This window comes from Homo sapiens, chromosome 2, assembly GCF_000001405.40.
Source record: "Homo sapiens chromosome 2, GRCh38.p14 Primary Assembly".
NCBI classification, from domain to species: Eukaryota; Metazoa; Chordata; class Mammalia; order Primates; family Hominidae; genus Homo; species Homo sapiens.
This window is the reverse complement of record NC_000002.12, coordinates 122,389,117-122,415,706: the sequence shown is the minus strand read 5'-3', so window position 1 is coordinate 122,415,706 and position 26,590 is coordinate 122,389,117. Positions and strand designations below refer to the sequence as shown.

General features: G+C 39.9%; 1 long non-coding RNA gene across 2 annotated transcripts in view; it reads right to left on the bottom strand.

Moving 5' to 3' along the window:
• The window catches only part of LOC105373592 (uncharacterized), a 530,486-nt gene that overhangs the window by 17,232 nt on the left and 486,664 nt on the right, over nt 1-26,590 (bottom strand). The window contains exons 4-5 of one of the 2 annotated variants that reach the window (XR_001739684.2): nt 22,666-22,744; nt 18,303-18,430 (exon numbers count right to left, since the gene is read on the bottom strand). This is a non-coding gene — a long non-coding RNA (uncharacterized LOC105373592). Of the gene's footprint in view, nt 1-18,019; nt 18,431-22,665; nt 22,745-26,590 lie in introns of those variants that run through there. The other variant, XR_007087222.1, reaches the window with a different exon arrangement.

Genomic DNA, 26,590 nt, shown 5'->3' with positions numbered 1-26,590 from the left:
TCTCATCCAGGGTGGGATTCTGGATTGCCTGTGTCTCTCTTGCCACATCTGGGGAACTTCAGAAAGCCTGATCTCCACTTGCCTTTGAGAGACATTTCTAGTACTCTGACATGTTTTTAAGGAAGTAGGGATGGGAGACACTGTGAATGGTCACAGGTAGGGACTGCTGCTCCACTCCAGCTTTCACCCATTCATGAGCCCCAACTCTCTCCCCGCTTAGGGAAAGCACCTTCCACATTTAGCCCTTACCTCAGAAGTGTAGTTAGTGTCATTAACAGCCCAAAGTTTATATAAGACTTGCCTGTAACCCGCTTATAGTAGGTGTCAGGTCCTCCAACCCCAGACCTAGAGTCACAATGTGGATCTAGAATCCTGAAATCTGCGTTTTTCAAAATACTTCCATATACAGGTAGAGGCTAATGTGTGTACCTGATTAAGATCCATTGATTGAAGAGTACCCCATTACTCCTTAGAAGCTGGAAGATTTCCACTCCAAGGAGTGGACTTTGTGCCAATCTGTAAGCATCGAGTCAGTCGTTTGTCTTTGCAGCACTTAAAACCCTGTGTAAACAGACTCAAGCAGACCCAGCCCACCATCATGGTCCACAAGCCCAGACTTGCAAAGGTACTCGGCTTAGGATCTTGGGAAATCCCCATTTCCATATACAAACAAAGGAACGAAAGGTTTGGCAATCACCCAGAGAAAGTCATTCAGTAGAGTTCAAAAATATTTTTATCCTAATTATCTGAATAATTAATGCAAAGTCAAGGTAGGATATAATTTTATTGTTTTAAGTGGAAAACATGTTTTCAAAGTTCATCAGACTGATGTAAAAGAACACAACCAAACCAACATAGCTCCAAAAATTGTAATCAGAGATGCTAAAATGACTTTTATGTTCTGTATGTAGAACAAAAAAATGTCTTTTAAATTAGTAGCTTATTAAAAGAATCAGTAGCTAGCAAGTAATGTATTTTCTTCTATAAAGCGATAGGGTATTTGTGATTGCATGACCCATTGTACAAAGTTCACAAAAACATTATCTGTGATCAATGCCGAGTATGGACAGAGAATTTTATATTGCCCTAAGGGAGGGAGTCTTGGCTGCCTTCTTAACAAGCCAAGGAACCATTTTTAAATCCTGCTGAAATACGCATCGAATATTGGAGGGACACTACTTAAGTCAGCAAGTATATAAATGGAAAATCAACATTTGAGCCCAAAACAAAAAGGACGCTAGTATTAACAACTAAAATATAAGATGTTAAGATGTTTAAAAGCTATTTTGTTTCTAACTTTTCAGTTAACACCGGTTACTAAATTCAACATATTGAGCTGTGTTACTTGCTCACTTTATTATGAACAGTGTGTTACTTGCTCAAAGGAGAACCTCCTGTGCGTGGCTGGTAATACAAAGCCTCCTCCCTCAGTCTTCAGCTACAAGTGACTTCTACTGGTCAGGCATTCAGGACAAAGTCAAAGGCACATCTTAGCCCTCCCCAGCTGACCCCACCTTTCACTGGCATCCTTATTTCCACCTCCGTCTCCCCACAAAACACTTGGCTCTCCCATGAGAAACAATCTGAATTTTATTTAGAAATCTGCATATGTTCCTTTCCTTCCTTTTCAACTTTTTCTACAAAAAATGTTGAAACAAGCCAGGGTATATATTAAATCCATGGGGCCGTCCATAGCCACTGCTATAAGCTGTCCTCCCCTCCAGTGAAACTGCCAACACTTACCATATGTCTCCTGATGTACTTACCCTGCATCATACACTACAGAGCATCATTAAAGAGAGGGATGTTCAAGAACCTAAGTCCTAAATCCCCATATTAATTATAAATTCCCTAGGCTTTGGATTGCACCTGTATAGTGCTTCTTCATCAAATTCTGTGTACATGGTAGGTGTTAATGCATGAAGAATAAAACAGTAATTTAATAATAATGAAGTAATAGCAACTCTCATTGTATTGTGCATCTATGAAGTGCCAGACACTTTTCTAAGCACTTTGTATATGTCATTACATTTAGTAACCACAATACTATTTATCATTTTTCCCCATTCTTCAGGTGAGAAGCATGTGTGTGAATAAGAGAAAGATGTTAGTACACACCCTCAGCTTGGAGAGGTGCTATGCTGTGAGAAGTTTCTGGAACCAAACAGACTAATAAACTACAGAGGCATGTAGCCCCATTTTCTCTCCACTGACCCAAAGTGTTTTTGAGCCCCCCAAAGGGGGAAAATATGACAGTAGCCAAGTCCACATGTGGGGCTAGGTGGTAGGGCAAGAAGGGAAGAAAAGAAACAAGAAAGAAGTTACATTCTTAAGTTGAGAGCTAATATCTGGGATCATCTATAAATCCTTCTAGCTTTGTCATGTTCCTTGTTTGTGTGCTGGGAAAAAATACAAGTCTTCACCAAATATTGGATCCAACCAAGTTTTCTTTCCTCTTTCTAGTAGAATTCTACTTCATCCATTCTTTTACTTATTTTTTTTAAAATGTCAACTGAGTGCCTACCATGCAAAAGGTTTAATGTTAAGCTATAAGGCATGATTTCACTCTTCCTGGAAAGAAAGTGAAATTTGATAAAAGAGACATATAGAAAAACTGGAGGAGGAGAAAGGAAAGAACAAGTCAATGCTGTTTATAATGAGGAAGGCTTCTGAGGGGAGGTCATGCCTCAGCTGGTTGTTGAAGGATAGTAAGAGTTTGCCAGGTGAAGTTTGCAAATAAGGGTTTGCTGGAGAGAAATTGGCATGTCCAGAAGCTGCAGGTATGCTGGCCACACATGGAATTCAGTGGAACACCTGTATCCAGGCATTTTCTACATTTCTGCTCATAAGAGAGGTGCTTTCTCCGGCTTTGTTTGGATAAGTAGTATTAAAAGTGTTGTAGGGCAAACATTCATATTTATGCTGTATTTAACTTTTCATTAATAATAAATTCAGGGGAAGTAGCATTGTTATTAATATTGATCAACATTCCAATTGAAAGCACAGATGTCAGGGATTTTTAAAAACCGGGTTCAGTTATATTTAATAGTGCTGTTGATGAGAGGAAACCTAATGAAAACCAACAGATGGTCTATTTAATATCGCTCTCGGCTTTGAAACATGTGCCAAATGTGATACACACAAGGACTTGACAGGGCTGCTCCTGGAAGCCTTTAATTACAAATATTTGCACTCCTGGGCCTGTTCAAATTGCTAAAATAACACTGCGAGTCTAACACTGGCCAAGTCAGAATTTAAATAATACCAGTTTTGTGATATTGTTCGTGGCATTGTATTTCTAAATGACCTCTGTAGACAGTTTTCCTGGCGGTTTTTTGTCTCTCTCTCTCCCTCCCTCTCTCTCTCTCTCTTCCCCCTCTTTTTTTTTTATTTTCGATTAAAGAACTGGAGCCCATGGCCAGGATGAACTCAGACAGTCCCCTCCCACATCAGCATACTCAGTCTGGAACACTGAGCAGCATCTCCAAAGTCAAAAAGCATGGATCTCCTTACTATTATGGTTGACTCAATTACAGACAGCCTTGCTGACATAAACTGCCAAAGCAGTGAGTAAGTAATTAATAATAATAATGACAATATCAATGACCCCTTTATAAACCTTGCTAGTCACTTGGCAAATATTACCACCATTCCTTGTAACAACAGAAAACAGAGATAAAGACACTGAAGCTGAGAAGGGCTCAATATTAGACTCAAGGTCACACAGCTTATAGGTGGTAACTGGGCAGGCTAATTAACCAGTAAGAGCATGATAAACCAGTCAATTATGGCAGGATAGTATTTCACAAAAGAGAAAGAAGCAGAAGGAGAAGTGGGTGGGGAGGAGGAGGAAAGAAAGGAGAAGGGGAAGAGGAAGAGGAATAAGAAGAAGAAGAAAAAGAAGACCCGTAATATGGTTTGGCTGTGGCCCGACCCAAATCTCATCTTGAATTCCCACATGTTGTGGGAGGGACATGGTGGGAAGTAATTGAATCATGGGGGCAAATTTTTCCTGTGCTGTTCTCGTGACAGTGAATAAGTCTCATGAGATCTGACAGTTTTAAAAACAGGAGTTTTTTCTGTAAAGCTCTCTCTTTTTGTCTGCTGCCACAACGTAAGACGTGACTTGCTCCTCCTTGCCTTCTACCATGATTGTGAGGCTTCCCCAGCTACATGGAACTGTAAGTCCAATTAAACATCCTTCTTTTGTAAATTGCTCAGTCTCAGGTATGCCTTTATCAGCTGTGTGAAAATGTTCTAGTACAGTAAATCGGTACCAAGGGTGGGGTGCTACTAAAACAAAGTTCAAGATTAAGGCTCTGGCAGATTCTGTTTCCAGCAAGGGCCCTTCCCACGGCTTGCAGATGGCCACCTTTTCACTGTTTGCTCGGGAGGTCATTCCATGGTGACTGAGCTAGGGGTGGAGAAGGAAGGGAGGTCAGATGTCTCTTACTAGGAAACTCACTAAACACTAATCCTATGGGATCAGGGACCCACCTTTATAACCTAATTTAAACCTAATCACCTTCTTGTAGGTCCTATCTCCAAATACAATCACATTGAAGTTTAGGGCCTCAGCACACAAATTTTGTAAATACACAATTTTGTTCAGAGCAATTATCCTTTATTTAAATTCTCTCAAGACATAGACCAAGATATCAAAACTTGATAAAGCTATCACAGAAAGCTATAGCCAGTTTCTTTTTCAAGATAGATATAAAAATTCCTAATAAATTATATTCAAAATAATACAGCATCATATTTTAGAATGTCACATTTTTAACTAAGTAAAGTATACTCCATGGCTACTGGTTCAGCATTAAGTAAATTTCTCAATATAATTTATTATATAAACAAATTAAAGAGAAAAAAGCAAAAAATACGTGATTATATCAACATGTGCTAAAATCGTATTGAATAAAATTTAGAAGACATTCCTAATTAAAATTCATAGTGACATGGGAATAGAAGAAACAGTCTAAACATGGAAAAGTATAATTAACAATATCCAAGTAAAAACGTAGTAACAAAGATGAAATATGAAAGTCATCATGATTAAAAAACAGGAACAGTAACTATTCCCATAGTCAAAAACCAAAAATATCTCCATTTGATGGCTTGCCTAAAAAATATAAAAGACTACTAAAAACGTGCTTAAAATAATAAAGCAATTTGGTAAAGTGGCTGAATCCAAGTTGACTAGCTAGATTTTAATGCTAACAATTTCATGTTAGAAATAGGTATGCAAAAGGAAAATCTCATTTTAAAAAGTAGTAAAAACTACAAAATATCATAGATTAAATTTAACTTAAAATTAGTAGGCCTACATGAAAAGAGCTATAAAAAGTTATAAAAGGACATAAACTAAAACATGAATAAATAGAAAGACATAGCATGTTTCTGGATTGGAAGACTTTTAATATCACAATATTTCCAATTTTATTTAAACCGATATGTCATCTTACTATAACAGTAATCAGGATCTCAGTTTTTTAAAGTGGAAATTTTTTTTCTAAACTTTATGTAAAAAATAAATGCATGGGAAATTCCTAGAAAAAATTTGAAAGTAAATAATGAAAAGTAATTTGCTTTTCAAGGTTTTAAATGTACACAAAGGTATTATAAGAGCAGTATTGACACAGGAATAAACAGATGAGAGAACAAAACAAATAGTAGTGGTACAAAACAATATGCATGATTGGAAATTAATCTATGTAAATGTGATATTTAAACTATTAAGAAATTATTATTTTTAATAGTGACATTAAAATAATTGTCTATGCATAAGCTAAAGCAAACCTTTTCCTATAAACATACAGACAGTAAATATTATGAGAGGAAAAGAGCCAAGGATGATATGTAAACAACTGGGCATAATTGTGTTCCAATAAAACATTTTTTAGAAAAATGAGCAGCAGACTAGAATTGGCAAATGGGCCATAGTTTACCAACCCCTAACTAAAAGAAATTTAAGTGAATATTGTTATGTCACAAAAATAAATTACAGATAGTTTTAAAACCTTATTGTAAGAAACAAAAACAAAAATATTAACGCTAACCATATTAAAAGGAGAAGAGTTTTATAAGCTCAGTGTAAAGAGGCTTTGTTTGTTTTTGTTTGTTTTAACTTTTATTTTAAGTTCAGGGGTACATGTGCCAGTTTGTTTTACAGGTAAACTTGTGTCATGAGGGTTTGCTATACAGATTCTTTTGTCATCCAGGTATTAAGCCTATTACCATTAGTTATTTTTCTCAATTCTCTCCCTCCTCCCACCCTCTGCCCTCTTATAGGCCCCATTGTGTGTTGTTCCCCTCTATGTGTCCATGTGTTCTCATCATTTTGCTCCTATTTATAAGTGAGAACATGTGGTATTTGGTTTTCTATTCCTGTGTTAGTTTGCTAAGGACAATGGCTTCCAGCTTCATCCACGTTAAAATGGAATCAAGAGATCTTTTTCAATAGATCATCAACTCAGGTAACAGAAAGGAAATGACTTACACATTTGTTACTTAACTGTATAAAAGTAAAGCATAAGAAACTGAACAAAATCAAAAGACAAACTACAGCCTAAGAGAAGTATTTGCTGGAACATATGATGAGCAAACAGTAACTATATGTAACATGTAAAGAGTTCTTGCAAACTGATAAGCAAAATTAAACTGATCCAACTGATATATCTGTAAAGGATATACGCAGGCAATGCTCAAAAGCAGAAACTCAAAACACTCATAAACTTAAGAATGCATGCTCTTCATAAATGAGGTCAGGTCACTCCTCTGCTCAAAACTTGGCTGTTTTAGTTCATTTGGGAACTAGTTCACTGGCTATAGCCCAGGTCGGGGTGGCTCATAAACAACAGAAATGTATTCTTCACAGTTTTGGAAGCTAACAAGTCCAAGATCAAAGTCCCAGCATGGTTGGAGTCTAGTGAGGGCTCTCTCCCAGGTAGCAGATTGCTGAACTTCACAAAGGCTAGAGAGCTCTCTGGGGTTCCTTTCAGAGGGCACAAATCCCATTCATGAAGGTTCAGCTCCCATGACCTAATCACCTCCCAAAAGTCTTACCTCCCAATACCACTACAATGAGAGTTAAAATTTCAATCTATGGATTTTAGAGGGATACCTTCAGTCCATAACACCAGCAATGGCTTTCATTTCACTCAGAGGGGAAAGCAAAGACCTCACCATACCTGCAGGCCCCATTATCTCTTGAACTTTCCCCCTGCTAATCTCCCTCTTGCTCCTTCCTTTCCAGCCATAGTGCCTGCTGTGCTGCTTCTGAGAAACACAGGTATGCTCCTAATCGGGGCTTTGCAGTGATGCCTCCTTCACCTTGAATGCTTCTCTTCAAGATTTCTATATTCCCTCACTTCCTTCAAACCTGCTCAAATGTCTTCTCAAGAGGCCCACCTCTGACCACTTCATGTAAAATTGAATACCCCCACCACCACACATGCACCACACACACCACACAGATATGCACACACAACATACACACACCATACACACATACCACACACACACATACACCATACCACAGATACACACCACACACACAGGCACATATACAAAAATACACACATATACACACACTCACAATCCTCCTTACCTTGCTCTATTTTTTCTTTTATTATAAAATATTATCATCTTCTAGGTTTAAGGTCTCTCACCTTGGCAGGTTTCTAACAACCAAATTAACCTCAGTGAACATGGAGCTGGAAAGAGCTATTCCCAGTCAGCCATCACAAGCCAATACAGGCCTGCTCTAGCACATAGTAGGTGTTCGGTAAATATTTGTTGAATGAACAAATGCTAAACCGCACTTGTAATTGCAAACATGTAAATTAAAACAAGATACAGTTTTCATAGATCAAAATGGCAAGCATGTTATAGGTGAATAACTTTAAAACCAACAACTCAACAATCTTCCTTTTAGGAACTGATTCTATAGAAATAAAAATTTCAATGCCCAAAGGAGGCATGTACCTTAATATATTTATTGCAAAACACTGTTTGTAATAGCAAAAAAACTGGAAATAATTTAAATACCCACATGAATAGAAAAATTGTGAATGAATTATGGTACATCCATCTTACTAAATGTCCTGCAGCCATGAAAATAATGAGTTGTATCTTTAAAAAGCAACCTGGAAAGCTATCCATGATATGTTTTAAGTGAGAAATATAAGTTGCAGAAATTATAAGATCTAATTGTGTTTAAAATGTTAAGAAAATGATTATAAATATGTATTTTACTTGCAAGATCATAAAAAGTATTAAAAACACTTAATTTAGAATTAAATTTGGAATAAACTTATATAAAACTTCATACTGTTTTCCTTTTATACCTTAAAAAAGCTAGAAAGCCTTTTGTATCAGTCTCTGCAATACCTAGAATAGAATAGTTTCCTACCTATTGAGAATTTATCTGTAAAATCTCTGCCTTAGCAGAAGGACCTTGTTGAATTACCTTCAGATTCTGCTTTCAGCATCCTCTTCTCATTGTATTATTCTTAGACTCCTTTTTTTCATATATATATATATATATATATATTTATTATACTTTAAGTTCTAGGGTACATGTGCACAACGTGCAGGTTTGACTCCTTTTTTTCTACTCCACTACATAGCTCATGCCTTCTAGGCTTAGATGTCACAATACCAAAAAGCTTGCAACAAAATGACTCTTGGCTTGAGACAAACTGAGTGCCAATTTCCCATCATTACCCAAAAATACAACCCAAAACTATGTTTCCAAAAGGAATCTGAAAGAGAACTTTTTAAAAGAGAAAGTAATTAATAATAACATAGCTACTATCTTGAGCCCCAAATCTGTGGGTAAGCAATGATGCAAAGGTCAAAACTTAATGAGTTTGGTGAGTTTGGGAATTTGGTGGGTGAAGATTGTGGGGTACAAGATAAAGGGAGAACTCAGACATATCTAGGTCATGTTAAGGAGAACAGATGATACTCCAAGGGCAACAGAAAGCTGTACAAGGGTTTTGTGTAATGGAATAACATACTATGTCTTGTGTTTTTAAAAGACCATTTTGGCTGCTATGTGGAGAATCAGCTTCAAGGAAGCAAAATAGAATTAAAGATCTATTTTGGAGTCATCCGCTGGGAGACAATGGTGATTTGACATGGATTGAAGAAGTAAACAGATGCCAGATATTCCATAGAGCACTTACAGCATTCAGTGATGGATTGGATGTGGTGAAAAGAAAAAGAGAGGAATCAAAGATAATCCCACATCATTCCCAATGCCCTCAGGTATTCTGGTATTCAGAGGTCTGGCCTAGAAAGGGAAGTCAGAGGCAGGGATTGAGGAGAAGGTAGTCCTACCTTCAATAAGCAAAGAATGGAGAAAGTCTGGCATGATATAAAGAAAACTCAGAGAGCATAGGGCCACAAAAGGCAAGAAAATAGAGTGTTGCACAGGAATAGTTAACTGTGTCCAATGCTGCCGAGAAGTCATGCAAGATAAGGGCCAAAAATGGCACTGATTTGCCAAAATAAATTAAGGGCATTCCTGGCCCAGCAGTCAGAGTAGAGTAGTCAGGTGATCAGCAGAGTGACACAGAGAAGAGAGGATGTAAATGAGAAAGAGAGCGGTGGGCATTACAATTCCTTTGGGAAGATGTGTTGAAAAGAAAAACAGAGACATAAAGCAATAGATTGAGGTATATATTAGATCTCTGAAGGGTTCATTCACAACTAGATCACCCCGGAGCTTATTTTTACATTAATAGAAATGATCCACAGAGAAGAAATGAAAGATGCGGAAGAGAGAAGAAACTGCAGGAGCAAAGTCCTCAAGTGTGGAAGAAAAGCCCAAGCCAGATACCAGGTGGGGTTGCTACCCATGGCATAGGTCACCCATGCCAACAGGAGACACGGCCCATGTACACAGGCAGGCATGGTGGGAAATTGAGCAGAGGTAAGACAGAGCTTTCCAATGGGGAATTTTCTTTTCCCGTTGAAGCATGATGCAAGGTCTCCAGTGAAGAGTAGGAATTGGCCAGCAAAGGAAAATGTTGAGGAACAATTTCAGAAAGAGGAGGAGCAAATTCTTGTAATACTGAAGTGTGCCTGTTGGGATGAAACAATTGGACAGTTGAGATCACTCATGAAGTCTGACTGGCCAGCACCTTTGTGTGTTTTCCTGCAGGCACATTCAGCAGACCAGGCACTGGATGGAGGAGGTATTATTCACTCTATCTTACAGGCAATAGATCGAAGGCTCACAGATGTTGAGTAGCTTGCCAAGCCCACCCAGTTCACAAGTGACGAAGCCAGGATGAAATGCAAACATGTCTGACTTCAAACTTCCTTCAATAAAATAATAATAAATAATAATGATAGTAACTTCTTTCTGCCTTCCACCGAAGTACTTGCAAATATACAGATGGTAAAGGAGAGTGTTTTTAAGGATAATTCCAAAGTCATAACAAATGTGCTTCAGCAGAAATGAGGGAGCAAATGTATAAAAAGCAATCCATTGATACTTTTGGAAAGCAATAATCCCATTACATATTGATGACTCTTAAATCTTTGCTAAAGGCTTATTTTTAGTGGACTTCTTAATTGCTTAGTAACAATGAGATAAGATGATAATCTACAAAAATAACCTGAAAGAATGGTATGCTGTAAGCTTGGCAATATTTGTTCAAAATAAATTCCTAACCATCAACTAATTAATAAAACCAGCAACGATCATAACATTGAGAAACAAAAACACCCAGCATCTAGCAGCAAAACAGTGTCAAAGAAAACAAATGTCCTGTGGGAAATGTCTTTAAAAGTTCATCACTTTTTTTTTTTTGCGTCAACCTGAGCAAATCGCATACGGCAATTGACATCCAAAAAGTCTAAATGTGGCTCTTGAAAAGTAATGCAAGAAAACGACTTTTTTTCCTACTTGAACAACAGAAAGGAGAACAGAAATAGTGGACTGAGTTGGACAATTGATGCCAAACAAATCTATTTGATTAGTGGATAACACTGCAGGATAAGTAGATGGAGCAAGGACAATGATGAATGTGCACACTTGTATGAGAATGTGTGTGTGTGTGTGTGCGTGTGCACGCGTGCACATATATTACACAAAACTTCATATAATCAGATACTTACAAATATTTATAAGATGTGAGTTAGAGTTATGAAAGCTCATAAAAGATTTAATTGAAGTCAATTTTATAGGCACAGAGTCAGATTTAAACATATTTAAAAGACTGCTAACATGAGACATTATAACTCCAGGGAAAACCACAGGGGTATATTTAATTTGGTCAGTCAGATGTGAGGCTTTATCTAATAACCCAGAAATTTGGAAATAGATTATATACTGTTAACTTGTAATATGAAATACAGGTTTTCTTAGGAGTAGAAATTTAACACCCAAAGGAATCAAGTTAAGTTAAGAAATGCAAACAAGCAATATCTAATAAAGACTAATTGATAGATGTGTAAATGCATTAACTCATAAAGGTTCTGAGTCAACCGTCTCGATGAGTTCACAGCATTTGTATCAAAATCATCTTAGATATAATGTGATTATATCATTTAAGCTTATAGCAATAATAATAAAATAGCCACTATTTGTCACATTTCTACACTGTGATTGATGCCATCAGGTTCTTTATAATATCCTCTCGTGTAATGAAAACAACTGTATTTAACAGATTAGGAAACAGAGGCCCTGAGAACTTGAGCTGAAGCTGCTTGCTGGAGCCAGAGATCTAGCAGTGAGATGAGACTGAACACTCCCAAAACTCTTGATTGTTTCCACCATTCCTCTCTGGCACCCCTGAGTCCATAGCAAAAGGCCATGCCAAAGGGCAGATGGCAAGGAAGCAGATCCCATCATCCCTGGTCATCCTGACACTGCCAGGCTGGACTGCTGTCCCCCCCTTGCCAGTCCCATCGTCACTGACACAAAGCCACCATGTTCTCTGTCCTCCTTTATCAGGAGTTGGGACTGGTTAGGAGAACAGTGAGAGTCCCCAGAACAGAGCCTCATCCAGCTTTGCACCTCCACCTCCCCTACCCTGCACTCCAGGCCCACACTCGCTCCCACCCAGCTTCCTAGCACCCTGTAGGCTTCACTTTACCTAGGTTATATCTGTGTATGTATGTGTGTGTACTTGTGTGTAGATGTGTATGTGTGTACTAGAATATATATGTTTGTATGTGTCTGTGTGTGTTAGTGTATGTGTGTGTTTGTGTTTGTGAGTGCACACCAGGGGATGAAGTAGAAGCATAAGGGACAGTGCTGATTGGTGCAAAAGGCCTTTTACATTTAGAAGGGCCAGGTTTGAACCTTAGCTCCATTATTTTTACTAATGGACTCTCGGACTACTTCTGGCTCCTTTACTCCAGCGGTTCTCAGTGGGGAAAATTTTGCCCAAGGAAACATTTGGCAATGTCTGGAGATTATCTGGGTTTTCACGAATGGGAGGGGTGCTACTCACCTCCACGGACAAAGGCCAGGATGCTGCTAAACATTCTGCAGTACACAGAACAGCCCTGCACGACAAAGAAGTGTCCTGCCCATTGTCACTAGTGATGGGGTGGGGATGTCCTGCTTCACCCAGAGAAATGAAGCCACCTGCAAGAGTCTTTTCTCTCACTCAGCTCTCTGGCAACCATCTCTTCTAGTCTCAGGGCTTCAGCTGCCTCCTACCAGATTAAGTTTCATGCAGCATACATAGCTTTAGCCAAATCATATTCATTCCGAAAAATCTGTGAAATACAAGCACTTCAGCCTGGTATTCCAGGGCTCCGTGGCTTTTCTGCATTGGATGTTTTCAATCTTATTTCCTATGAATCTTCTCTCTACGTGCTATGGCAAGAATATTGAACAACTCACTGTTCCCCTCATCCTATACCTGTTTTCCAATCTCGGGGGTTTTGCTCCTGCTGACCTCCCACCAGGAATCTTCTTCCATTTTGCTACTCACCAGAATCCCCACATTCTTCAAGATTCCACTCTACACACCCTGACCTGATTCTCTCCCTTAGAAGGAGGAATCCCTCACCAGTACTCCCCCGTCACTCCATCTGGGCCTTGGCCAGGTCACTCCCTGGGATCGCCTATTTTTTAGAGTTGTCCTGTGCATGCCCCACTAGACGTACAGCCCTTGATTGAAAGATCTCATTTTTTTTACACAATAGGCAGTGATAATTTATCATCAAAAAATAGAATGAAGCTAATTAATGTAAGATGGTTTTTAGAATAAAACAGAAGGGGTATTAATATATTTCCACATTTGTGTCACAAAGAAAATGTTTAATAAATATTCATTAAACATATGTGTAAATTCATTGATCAATTAAATGAATTTATTGATTGCTAAGAACACCCACTACAACTCATTTGATTATTTGATTAAGGCACATCATATGTCAACTTCACTAAAATAATTCCATATTAATTTTTTGAGTTTGAATGTACAAAGTGTGGGTTGACTGTCTGTTGGGAAAGGCTACATGCTGTGAGACACCTGCTTATATCATGGGTACAAGACCAGCTTTTGGAAAGCATCCACGGCACTTTTTCTATGCTGTTAATTTTTTTTTTAACTTTATAGGTAAACCTGGATTATATAATCCTTACAGGGCCTAAAAGAGATGCCTCTATTGTCAAAGAGGTGAATGACCATTTGCCAACCTTCACTCAGGATATGGCTGGAATTTGGAGGCAGATCCAGGAAGGCCATGATTTGTAGCTGCTGAAAGTGAATGTTCAAGACTCTAAAAATACAGCACTGCCTACTCATCTCGCCAGTCTGTTATTCCCTGTCCTGAGCTCTCAGCCGTGAGGCACCTTCTGAGAATGGTAATGAAATTCCGATTGGTAATGAAACCCATCCTAAAAGGTCATTTCAACCAAGCAACAACCATTGGGCTAGATCTGGTTGGACCCTTGACCCTTTTCTACCTTCTAGGGCATATGCCATGTGCTTCAGGCACGCACACTTTCATTCTGTCCTCTGCTGTTCAAATTTCAACATGGGCCGGGCACAGTGACTCATGCCTGTAATCCCAGCACTTTGGGAGGCCGAGGTGGGCAGATCACCTAAGGTCAGGAGTTCAAGACCAGCCTGGCAAACATGATGAAACCCTGCCTCTACTAAAACAACAAAAATTAGCTGGATGTGGTGGCATGTGCCTATAATCACAGCTACTCGGGAGGCTGAGGCAGGAGAATCGCTTGAACCTGTGAGGCAGAGGTTGCAGTGAGCAGAGATCACGCCACTGAACTCTAGTCTGGGCAACAGAGCGAGACTCTGTCTCAAAAAAAAAAAAAGAAAAATTCAACATGCCCTTCTTGCAGTGATTCAGGCTCCAATATGATCCCATCCATCACATCAACTGCTAAAACTCAAAATCTTACCAGGCTGTAATTCCATCTAAACTTGGGAGACACATATATGCTAAGATATGAATGATAACCTTGGAACCCATCCCAGGTATTGCTTTGCTAAAAGAAAGCACCTTCATTCACAAAAATGTGCTTTCGTCTTAATTTCAATAAAGAAATTCAGGTAGCTCTAAAGGAGATATTTTGGGAAAGGGAGCTCTCAGCTTACCTTCAAATCCTCATGCTAAAACCAACCACACTAATTTTGTGAACCTTCGAATGACTTAATCAGTGTGTTAATGAACACTCACATGTATTCTCCCCATTCCTGCTAAAATGAACATCTCAAAATCCAAATCTGTGTCATCACCCTGCTTAAAATCCATCGCTAGCTTACTATTGCCTATGTGATAGAAGCTCCTCATTATAGAGCTGAAGGTTCTTCTCAATGGGGTTCCCACTTCTGACCCCCCTAAACCTGTTCTGATGTCTAGCTTCAATATACCAAGAAAATTCTTACCTTCAGGACTTTGCACAAGCTGGGAACTCTGCCTGCCCTGTGTCCCACTTAGGCCCTTCTGAAACAGGAACTCTCATTTGTCCTCAAGGCTCAGCCTAAGGATAACTCTCCCTGTGCTGGACCAAGAGTCACTACTTGTGTTTGTCCATTCAGGCTACAATAAGAAAATACCATAGACTAGGTGATTTATAAACAACAGAAATTTACTTCTTACAGTTGTGGGGGCTGGAAAGACCAAGACCAAGGTGACGGTAGTTTCAGTGTCTGATGACACTTCCTCACAGCACCTTCTCACTGTGTCTTCACATGGCGGAAGGGGCACGGGAGCTCTCTGGTGTTTCTTTTATAAGACCACTAGTCCCATATGTGGGTTCCACAGCCATGATCTAATCACCTCTCAAAGGTCCCACCTCCTAACATCATCTCCTTAGGGTGAGGATTTCAACATATAAACATTCAGGCCATGGCCACACCCATGCCGTTCTTTTTTTTTTTTTTTTTTTTTGAGACAGAGTCTTGCTCTGTCACCCAGGCTGGAGTACAGTGGCACAATCTCGGCTCACTGCAGGCTCTGCCTCCTGGGTTCAAGCGATTATCCTGCCTCAGCCTCTGGAGCAGCTGGGATTACAGGTGTGTGCCACCATGCCCAGCTAATTTTTGTATTTTTAGTAGACATGGGGTTTCACCATGTTGGCCAGGCTGGTCTCAAACTCCTGACCTCAAGGGATCCGCCTGCCTCGGTCTCCCAAAGTGCTGGGATTACAGGTGTGAGCCACCACGCCTGGCCTGCCCTTCCTTTTTAAAAGCTCCTTTACCACCTGGGCTGCAAGCTTTTTGAGTTCCAGGTGAATATTATCATGCTTCTCCATATCTACCTAGCACAGGTGTTTGTTGCATGTATAAACACTTGTTGAGTATATCAACCAATCTCTCAATTAATAAACAAAACTTTTCTAAAATGAATGAACCAGATGAAAGTGGGATTAGACCTCATTTTTCAAATAAAAAAACTGAGGACAGGGAGAGCAAACAATATATTGCACATCTAAAAACAACCTGAAGTAAGCCAGAACTACATATGGTTCAAGCCCACTGTTTGTGAATAAATGAAACATGTTTTCTACAAGGGATAGCCTTGTGGTTAATGCCCAAGAATTTGGAAATGCCAGGAGTCACGTCTCAACTCTGAATTTGCATAAGTTGCTTAAGAAAATCAAGTACCTACTTTAAGTATTTTAAAGAATCCTAGATCTGATGCTGAGGGTGAGTTTGGAGTGCAGGGTATGTAAGATGTAGAGAAGAGGAAAGGATTTGGAGAAGGAAGATGCAGAAAAGCAAATTCCGGAGAAAAACGTTGCTATAGAATAAGCATGCCATGATTATAGGCAGCTAAAATTGTTGGATGTTCTTGTAAAATCATTAAATCCTAATTAATATTGGATTAGGTTTGCCACAGTATGATGCACCCCAATGCGTTTCTTCTCAGATCAGAAATGCCCAGTCCCCTCCTGCTGGTCTCACAGATGCTTGTCAAGTATGCCCAGGTTCTTGTTTGGGATGTGAATTTGTAAAGCTTCCAACCCACAGACAACAAGTGTTGAAAACTCATTCCTGAATGCCGCCTCAGAGATAAACAAAGTTGTTAGGTTCCTTGATGATCTGACATTCAGTGATGGGCTAATGATTTTCACTCTCTTTGGGAAAAGAAATGCTGTGGTGAAGAGCTGTGTTGACGGCTGGTCACAGGCTGTTTTTCTGCTTGTGAATGCTCCAGAAAGCATCTTTAAGTCAAATAATAATCACTTTTCAAGCTAAAGTTTACCAAGCGCTTTTTTCCGTAAATTATCTTATTTAATCCTTAGGACAACTCTGAAAGTTTAAGTCCTAAAATATGCTCTCTGCAAGCTGGAGAACCAGGAAAGCCCATGGTATAGTCTGGTCCAAGTCCAAAAGCCTGAGAGCCTGGGGAGCCAGTGATTTAACTCCCATTCTGAGGCCAAAAGCCTCAGAAGAGTGAAGGGGAGGGCCTGCTGGTGTAGGTCCCAGAGTCTGAGGGCCCAAGAACAAGGAGCTCCAACGTCCGAGGGTAGAAAATGGATGTCCCAGCTCAAGAAGAGAGAGAGAATTTGGACTTCCTCCACCTTTTTGTTTTCTATCTGGGCCTCAATGAATTAGATGATGCCTACCCTTGCTGGTAAGGATAGATATTCTTTTCTTTTTTTCTTTTCCTTTTTTTTTTTATTATTTTTTTTTTTGAGACGGGGTCTTGCTCTGTTCCCCAGACTGGAGTGCAGTGGCGTGATCTTGGCTCACTGCAAGCTCCACCTCCCGGGTTCACGCCATTCTCCTGCCTCAGCCTCCTGAGTAGCTGGGACTACAGGCGCCGGTGACCACGCCCGGCTAATTTTTTGTATTTTTAGTAGAGACGGGGTTTCACCGTGTTAGCCAGGATGGTCTCGATCTCCTGACCTCGTGATCCGCCTGCCTCGGCCTCCCAAAGGGCTGAGATTACAGGCGTGAGCCACCGCGCCCGGCCCAAGGGTAGATATTCTTTACTAAATTTACTGATTCAAATGCTAATCTCTTCCAGAAACAGTCTCAGAGACACATACGCAGAAATAATGTTTAACCAGCTACCTAGGTATCCCTTAGCCCAGTCAAGTTGTCACATAAAATTAACCTTCCCACCATTTTCCTCATTCTACACCATCTTCCACCTTCTCATCCTTTCCCAACTCATTGTGGTATTGCTAAGTCTGGTTCTCTCCTCTCCACCTATCTTAAATTCCAAACTTTTCCAGTCTATCTCCAAGAGCATCTTATAGCACATAACACCTCCAACATCACACTCATTCTTCAGAACTTTTTCATCTCATATTCTCCCTATTATACACTACTCTACTGAAACTGTTTCCCAAAACATGTATCAAGAAGGACTGTGCAAATCCTGGGTCACCTGGGCTTTTCATAGCCCCTACCAGGGCTTACTGTCCTCTCCTGGGTTAGCCCAACTTGCAACCCATCCTAAACTCCACCGCCAGATCAGGCTTTCTGTTGCGCACCTCTTGGTGCATTATTGTCAGTTTAAAAACTGTGATGCTTCCCTGGAGCCAACCAAATTTGGTAAATATTTCGTAACTTGAATCTCATGATCCTCCAAACTACCCCTTCAGACTTACTGCTTTTGTACCAGGGGAAAAATTATATTAGTTTTATGGGACGAACCAACCTCATTTATTTTTTGTAAAGTATCATCAACATGATTTTTCAACTTCATATCAAGAATCTCTCATAATATGCTCAATAGGAAGTGTTATAAAGATGGTAGCTAAGACATGTGGAGAGAGTCTCCAGGGCCTGTGCAGATGTGGGATATATTTAGACATGGAAGAACATGCTCACAGTGGAAATCCTCACCCTGGTGCATCTTTCTCATCTCTAAGTGGTACATGTGTCTCTCAGCTGGAGATGTCGTCTTGCTGCCCCTGCTTTTAGCAGGCTGCCCCTCCTGTGGAGAAAGAAACTCAGAGAACAAAGTTCAATACCTGGATGCAGAAAAAAAAAGAAGCTAATTATTTGAAGCATCTCTTCTCTACCTTTTCTTTCCTTTATTAATGCTGAGGATTAGTCATTGTTGGTTTGCTAATCTCTGGCTTAACAGTAAACACAAATATTAAGATCTAATTCCATATCAACTAGGTCTACTAAACATTTCAACATTTCAAGTATGTTGACACCTTATTCCACTTATTCAATAACAAAGGGAAGGAAAAAAAGTATTTTTATGTAGTTTAGTGATGCAGTTTTCAAAAAATTTACTTATAAGTAAGAAGATACAAAAAGGTTTGAAGACAATTCATGTCTGTTATTCTCCAATGAAATACTGCATATCCTCTACAAGGATGTTCAACATCAATGAATGACAACTTAAATATCAAAAACTGGCCGGGCTCGGTGGCTCACGCCTATAATCCCAGCACTTTGGGTGGCCAAGGCAGGCAGATTACAATGTCAGGAGTTCGAGACCAGCCTGGCCAATATGGTGAAACCACGTCTCTACTAAAAATACAAAAATTAGCCGGGCGTGGTGGCGGGCCCCTGTGGTCCCAGCTACTCGGGAGGCTGAGGCAGAAGAATCGCTTGAACCCCAGAGGCAGAGGTTGCAGTGAGCCGAGGTCACGCCACTGCACTCCAGCCTGGGTGACAGAGCAAGATTCTGTCCTAAAAAAAAAAAAAAAAAAAAAAAAGTTATGCTTCATTATTCACAGTATTGACCTGGCTATTCTATATTTTCATCTCATACATCAAGAGAGGAATGTTAATCCCCTATCTGAGTTAAAAGGACATCAAGTTCCCCAGGTAACCCTCCATGTGGCAGGAGTAGGTATGGTGGTAGAAAAGTTTGGCTGTAAAAGGAGCACGACCTGTCTGTGAATGAGTGTGTAGACAGGCAGTGTGTAGCCAGCCAGTCACAAAAGTATTCACGCCACCCCAAATTCAATGTTCATGACTTTGCTGAGACAAAAATTAAGTAGTCTTAACTAGAAAAAAAGTTCTAAAAGATCTACTGTTTAGATTACTACTTTTTCATTGCATGGACATACTCTATTCCTATGTCTGTCTTTCTTTTGTCCTGCGTTCTACTTGTTCATATTTTCTACATGTAAAAAAAGGCTGACAAAACATGTGGTCATGTCCAAATCTCATATTTTGTAACATAAACGCAAATACACCACACACACACACACACACACACACACACACGTGCACATATAAACACACACATACTGTGGAAATACACACATTCACATACTTACATACCACACACATGCACATATGCCACACACATGCACACAGACACGTACACCCACACATATTCCCCACACATGTATGCACAGCACACACAACCCTCATGATTACATGCACATACGCATACCACACACACATGCATGTGCATAACACCACACACATGTGCATGCAAACACACACATGCCACGCATATACACACACCGCACATATACACGTACATGCACAGTATACTTTGGAAATCAGAAGATAAGAAAAATATTGTTAACACCACTAATATTCCCAGTAGTTTTATATTTGCTAGTATATTTCAGGTAATGTTTAACTGACTTCTCTATGTTTAACAAATTCTTGAGGGTATGAGGATGGAAATAAATGCATTGCATGTCATATTTTGCTTATGTACTAAGTGAATGGAAGCTGAAGAAAACAAAGAAAACATGAAAAAGAAAGGCAGAAGGACGGCATGATTAGGGCCAGGGCCACAGACCTGCCTCTGTCACTGATTTGCTGGGCACATTCTATTTCCCAACCTCAGTTCCTTCATTTGTAAAATGTGGAGGCTGGATTAAACCATAAAGTGAAGTCACTGTTGTGGACTGAATTGTGCCCAACTCCACCACCAAATTCATATGTTGAAGCCCTAATCTTCAATGTGCCTGTAATTGGAAATAGGGTCTTTAGAGAGTCCATTAAGGTAAAATGAGGTCACAGTGGTAGAGTCCTAATCCAGTAGGACTGGTATCCTTTTTATTTATTTATTTATTTTTTTTTTTTGAGATGGAGTCTCGCTCTGTCGCCCAGGCTGGAGTGCAGTGGCACGATCTCGGCTCACTGCAACCTCCACCTCCAGGATTCAAGCAATTCTCTGCCTCAGCCTCCTGAGTAGCTGGGATTACAAGCACCCACCACCAGGCCCAGCTAATTTTTTTTATTTTTAGTAGAGACGGGGTTTCACCATGTTGGCCAGGCTGGTCTTGAACTCCTGACTTTGTGATCCACCAGCCTGGGCCTCCCAAAGTGCTGGGATGACAAGCGTGAGCCACCGCACCCGGCCTGGTATCCTTGTGAGAAGAAAAAGAGACACCAGAGGCACGTAAGCACAGAGGAAAGGTAATATGAGGACACAGGAGAAGGTGGTCATCTGCAAGCCAAGGAGACAGGCCTCAGAAGAAACCAACTCTGCCAACGCCTTAATCTTGGACACCAGCCTCCAGAACTGTGAGAGAATAAATGTCTGTGTTTAAGCCACCCAGTCTGTAGTATTTGTTATGGCAGCCTTGGCAAACTAAAACAGTCAATTCTAACTCTAACAGTGTTTCATTCTAGTACTATGAACATAAAATGTCTTTATGTATAAAGATCAAAATTTATTAAAGTGAATGTAAAATAATATTGTACAAGTGATAAGCAAATTTTTAAAAAATTCTACAAAGTAATCATCAGCTCTCAGAAGTTTAATCAAATATCAGTGACAACTTCTAGAGGGACTTAATAGTTTATATAGTGTTTTCACATAAATTATTTTATCTCATCAACTAACGAATTAGAAAATGTTGTAGGTCAGAGGATTAACCCCAGGTCCCAGGCCTCTATAACACAGAGATTAGCTCCCTTTTCTTCATAAAAGAACAGAGAAGGCCGGGCACGGTGGCTCACGCCTGTAATCCCAGCACTTTGGGAGGCCGAAGCAGGCGGATCACGAGGTCAGGAGATCGAGACCATCCTGGCTAACACAGTGAAACCCTGTGTCTACTAAATATACAAAAAATTAGCCGGGCGTGGTGGCAGGCGCCTGTAGTCCCAGCTACTCGGGAGACTGAGGCAGGAGAACGGCATGAACCCAGGAGGCAGAGGTTGCAGTGAGCCGAGATCGTGCCACTGCACTCCAACCTGGGCGACAGGGCGAGACTCCATCTCAAAAAAAAAAAAAAAAAAAAAAAGAACAGAGGAAAAAAGTTTTCCAAGTAAGTTTTACTGAAAATGGGAAGGTGGGAATGAGGAGCCACCAGAAAAGGCATTTGAAGGTAATGGCTGGTTCTCACCGTATTGTCCCTCATCCCTTTAGTAAGTGCTGTCTGCGGGGTACTGTGTCAGCATGACTGGAAAAAATGCAAAGTTCCAAGTCTTCATTTCTGCCCTCAGAAAGATTATTATCAATTAAGAAAATAAGATATGAACAGGAGATATAAATAAGGATAGAAAATAAGTCACAAACACGTGTCATCTAAAAGAAGTGAATGAAAACTATTGTGGAGGAAAACGAGAGTTTCAGACTTTTTGCTGTGATACCTGGGAAAAAAGATGAAATCTGAGTTTTAAAAAAACCCAGAGCCTATGGATAAGGGGAGGAGGATTGACAGGTAACTTGTTACTTCCAGTGGCTGGAAAATTAGTAACCTAACCAATGGCCTGCTTAAAGTTATTTGAAATAACTTCCTTAACCCCAGTGATTATAACTTTATTTTTGCCATGTTTCTGTCATGTTTATTATTTAAAATATTTTTAATGCGTCTGTTTTGGGACAGCTTAACCTGGGAATCTGGGCTTTATCCAATTACCTAAATTTAGCTCATTGGTCAGAGATGGTTCCATTATTCCAACATCGTGATTTCCTCAAGATGACCTTGCAGGGGTGATAATCACCTACTTGGAGCAAAAAAGCCATCTATGGTAACAAGGGGACATTTGTCAAAGTTACGGCCATCTCATATCAGTACCTGTTCGCAATATATTACCTATATTTGGATCCTGAACCACCTTCACTCTCAGTCTGGGAATCTGAATGTTTTCCTCCACATGTGGCTTTTTGGTCTCCTACTTGGCTTCATCCATCAAATGTAACTTCTGCCTTCTCTGTTGAGCATGTATTACTGACCTCACTGCTGAAACCATTTGTATAAACTTTACAAAGTTAATCAGAGAAGAAGGGATAGGGAGAAAGGAAAAAAAACCGAGTTTGCAGCACACTCACCTTGATCACCAGGTCAGCTGCTCTCCGACCTGCTTCCTCAGAGTTGTTTCATGCCTCTTGCCTCAGAATCGCATAGACCCTGTTACAGGATTATAGTTCCCCTTAATTGCTCTACAGATAACAACTTGAACAATATGAAATGTTAAGCTTTTCATTTCTTTCAAGTCCTGCTTAACGGTGAAACTACTGACGTCAGCTGGTCTGAAGGACCCAAAGAAGCTGACTCACTAAAGAATGCAGTTTCCACATCCTGATGATTTTTTTTTATTATTTTATTTTTATTTTTGAGACGGAGTCTCGCTCTGTTGCCCAGGCTGGAGTGCAGTGGCACGATCTCGGCTCACTGCAAGCTCTGCCTCCCAGGTTCACGCCATTCTCCTGCCTCAGCCTCCCGAGGAGCTGGGACTACAGGCGCCCCTACCACGCCCAGCTAATTTTTTGTATTTTTTAGTAGAGACGGGGTTTCACCGTGTTAGTCAGGATGGTCTCGATCTCCTGACCTCATGATCTGCCCGCCTCAGCCTCCCAAAGTGCTGGGATTACACGCGTGAGCCACCGCGCCCGGCCCACATCCTGATGATTTTATCCCTCTTATCCTGATCTATCAAGAGGCCCAATCTTTCAAGCCCTCACCCTCCATAATCCCCTTCAAAGCCCCAGCTCAGAACTCCTTGGGAAGATGGATTTGAGGGTCTCCTTCCATTTCCTTGTCGGTGCCCTTTGGTTATTAAACTCTTTCTCAGCTGCAAACCCTGCCACAAAGAAAGTGTATTGGTCTGTTACTGCACAGTGGGTATATGAACCTGTTGGTCCGATAGCACAGCCAACACAAAAGGTTGCACTTCTATCTTCAGACAAAACAATCCACCTAATTGCATACTTTCATGATTAGTCCTACATAGTTCAAATCACATTTCTGCTAATTCTAGTCATGTACAGTACAGATTGATTCTTGGCATTGACATCCATTGCTAAATAATCGTAATACTCTATATCCAGCTAAAACAAGAAACTCGAACCAGTAAAATGTTATCCCTAAAGGCAGTTAGATGGCAGAAAGGGCATGTAGAACGTCCTCTGTTTCCTCAAGTCCTAATGCCTCCCTTGGCTGGATTCCATATTACATGCTAATTTGCAAGGCTGAAATAAGGTGATTCATTTATTAAGGAAATGAAGCCAAGCATTACATTATAATAATTAACTTTTTGAAAATAATTATTTAACTTTAGTTTAAATTTATCAGTCACCAGGGAGTAGCTGAATTCTGATTACCATTTTAAAATATTGCTTGGAAGGAATTTCTTAATACAGGTAATCACATTCATTTTTTCTCTAGTTTGATCTAGTTCCATTATTGGATGAGTTAAGAAGGTCTCATAATTAATTACAGTCTCACAAATACTGTCCATGCAACTTTGCTCTTCAGCGACTATTTCCTGGTCTAGAGAAAGGAATGCAACTGTCATAATGACCTAGTAATTGCAATATTTGACTGATATGTAAGGAAGGCAAATTACTCTAATAAGAATTTCCTGAGTCTCTGGAAGTTTGGCTACATAATGGTACAGGTGTCTTCTAAGTATAGGTATTGGCAATGACAGGATGCTATTCCTTTTAGACTACAGAAATATTTCAAAATAAGTTATGATTGACATATTCTTGAGTTTGCAAAGTTTCTTAGTTCTTCATATCTCTTTCCACTTCTTCCTGCTTACGTTCCCTCCTACTTTCAGCCCCTCTCATATCTTTTAAACTCTTTTCTCCTAAAATAATTTAAATCTTTCCAAATGATACAAAATTACCTTTGCAGTGTATTCATAGCCATGCAAAAATAGGGGAAAAATGGTTAGAAAAGAAAAAAAACTAAAAAAGACAAACATGTTTATAATGGGTTATGGGTAAGGTTTCTTGTTATTTTAAAAAATTTTCTATAGTCAGTAAGCATCCCTTTTGTGATGATAATAATAATAATATGATGATAATAATAATAAACTTAATAAGAGTGGAAAGAATATGAGCTCAATAAATCTGATTTAAATTTTTGCCATGCTAAATAATCATAATACCCTATATCCAGCCAAAACAAAAAATTTGCACCAACAAAATCATGGTACCATGAACAAGCCCCATATCACCCCCAAGCACTGTTGTTATCTTTCATCCAGTTTGTTATACAATACTTTCCTTCCAGAGCTGCTGCGAGAATTAAATAAAATTATCTCTGCAAAGTCCTTTACATGATACACATTACTTTCCTATATAGTAAAATCTTTACCATAATGAGAGAAGAAATTTCACTGAAAACTAAGCTAAAAACACACTTTTCTGAGCAAAAAATATGATGTCTTTGTCTCTTCATAAGCATGCAGTCAGAAAGTTAGACACCAAACAGGAAATGTCTTTCCAGCTGATTGCATCACCCCAGTCAATCACAGCAATCACAAAGTTTATGACTGCAATACCATGACAGACAAGTGTGGGTGTTATTGGCTTACAGCCATGAGCAAGGTTTCAGATTTTTTTTACCTGGATCCAAGGTAGTCGTTAGACACTGCAATGGTATGTCCAGTTTCTCAAAACCTTGTGAAAATAAAGCCCCTTAAGACTAATAAGGGACATGTTTATGATATATTTGCCATAAAACTAATTAACTGAAGCATCCAAAATCTTCTTGCTGTCAGAACCAGTATGATCTGCCATAGGAAATCTTCTCTCTGATTCTGTAAGAGAAGTTCTTTCTTTAAGGCTATCTGTGTTGATATAGTTGGGCTCTGTTTCCTCACCCAAATCTCAGGTTGAATTGTAATCCCCACATGTTGAGAGAGATGATTTAGGGTATCTGGCAGAAGAAATTTCTAAGCAGCAAAGCATACAAGAGGTGACCACACTTTTTCTGAAAGTGTACAGTCATATGCATTCACAAAGAGATGATCTGAAATGGGAACTTAGGTTTAAAAGGGAAGCAGAACATAAAAGTTTGGAAAATTTGCAGTCTGATCACGTGGTAGAAAACAAAAACCCATTTTCTGGGGAAAAATTCAATCCGGCTGCAGAAATTTGCACAAATAACAAGGAGCCGAGTGTTAATAGCCAAGACAATAGCTGCCTAGTGGAACTGTCAGAAGAGGGCCACCATTGTCCAGATCCCAGGATGGTAGGTCCACAGACAGCTTGCATCACGTACCTGGAAAAGCCACAGGCACTCAATGCCAGCCTGTGAAAGCAGCCATGGGGCTGTATCCTGCAGAGCCACAGGGGTGGAGCTGCCCAAGGCTGTGGGAGCTCACCCCTTCCATCAGTGTGCCCTGGGTATGAGACATGAAGTCAAAGGAGATTATTTTGGAGCTTTAAGATGTAATGACTGCTTTGCTGGGTTTCAGGCTTGCATGGGGCCTGTAGCCCCTTTGTTTGGCCAATGTCTCCCTTTTGGAATGGGGGCATTTACCCAATGTCTGTATCCCCACTCTATCTTGGAAGTAACTAACTTGGTTTTTTAGCCATTTGAGGAAATATGAAAGCTCCACTATAAATCTCAAATTTGAGATTTCCAGTGAATAAGGTGGTTTATGTAAGAACTTGCAAAAAACAAAATTTAAAGCATCTTTTGACCAGAAATGAATTTATTTAACGAATATGATCTGAATATCTCCCACACGGCAAGACATGGAGACACAACACAAAATTAATGCTGCCCCAATAGTCAATCCCTAACAAATCCTGTCTCTTTCACTTCTACTATGCAACCTTGTTTTTCATTTACGCGGCCATCTCCTTCTTCGTCTAAGCCTTCACCTTCTCTGACTTAGAGTGACGATAACAGCCTTCTGTCTGGTGTTCTTGTAGCTGCTTTTCATCCTCTCTCCAGAATGCACATCCTCCAGGAGACCTTCCAAACTCCTCCCAACTTTGCCTTTGGTGTTTTCCT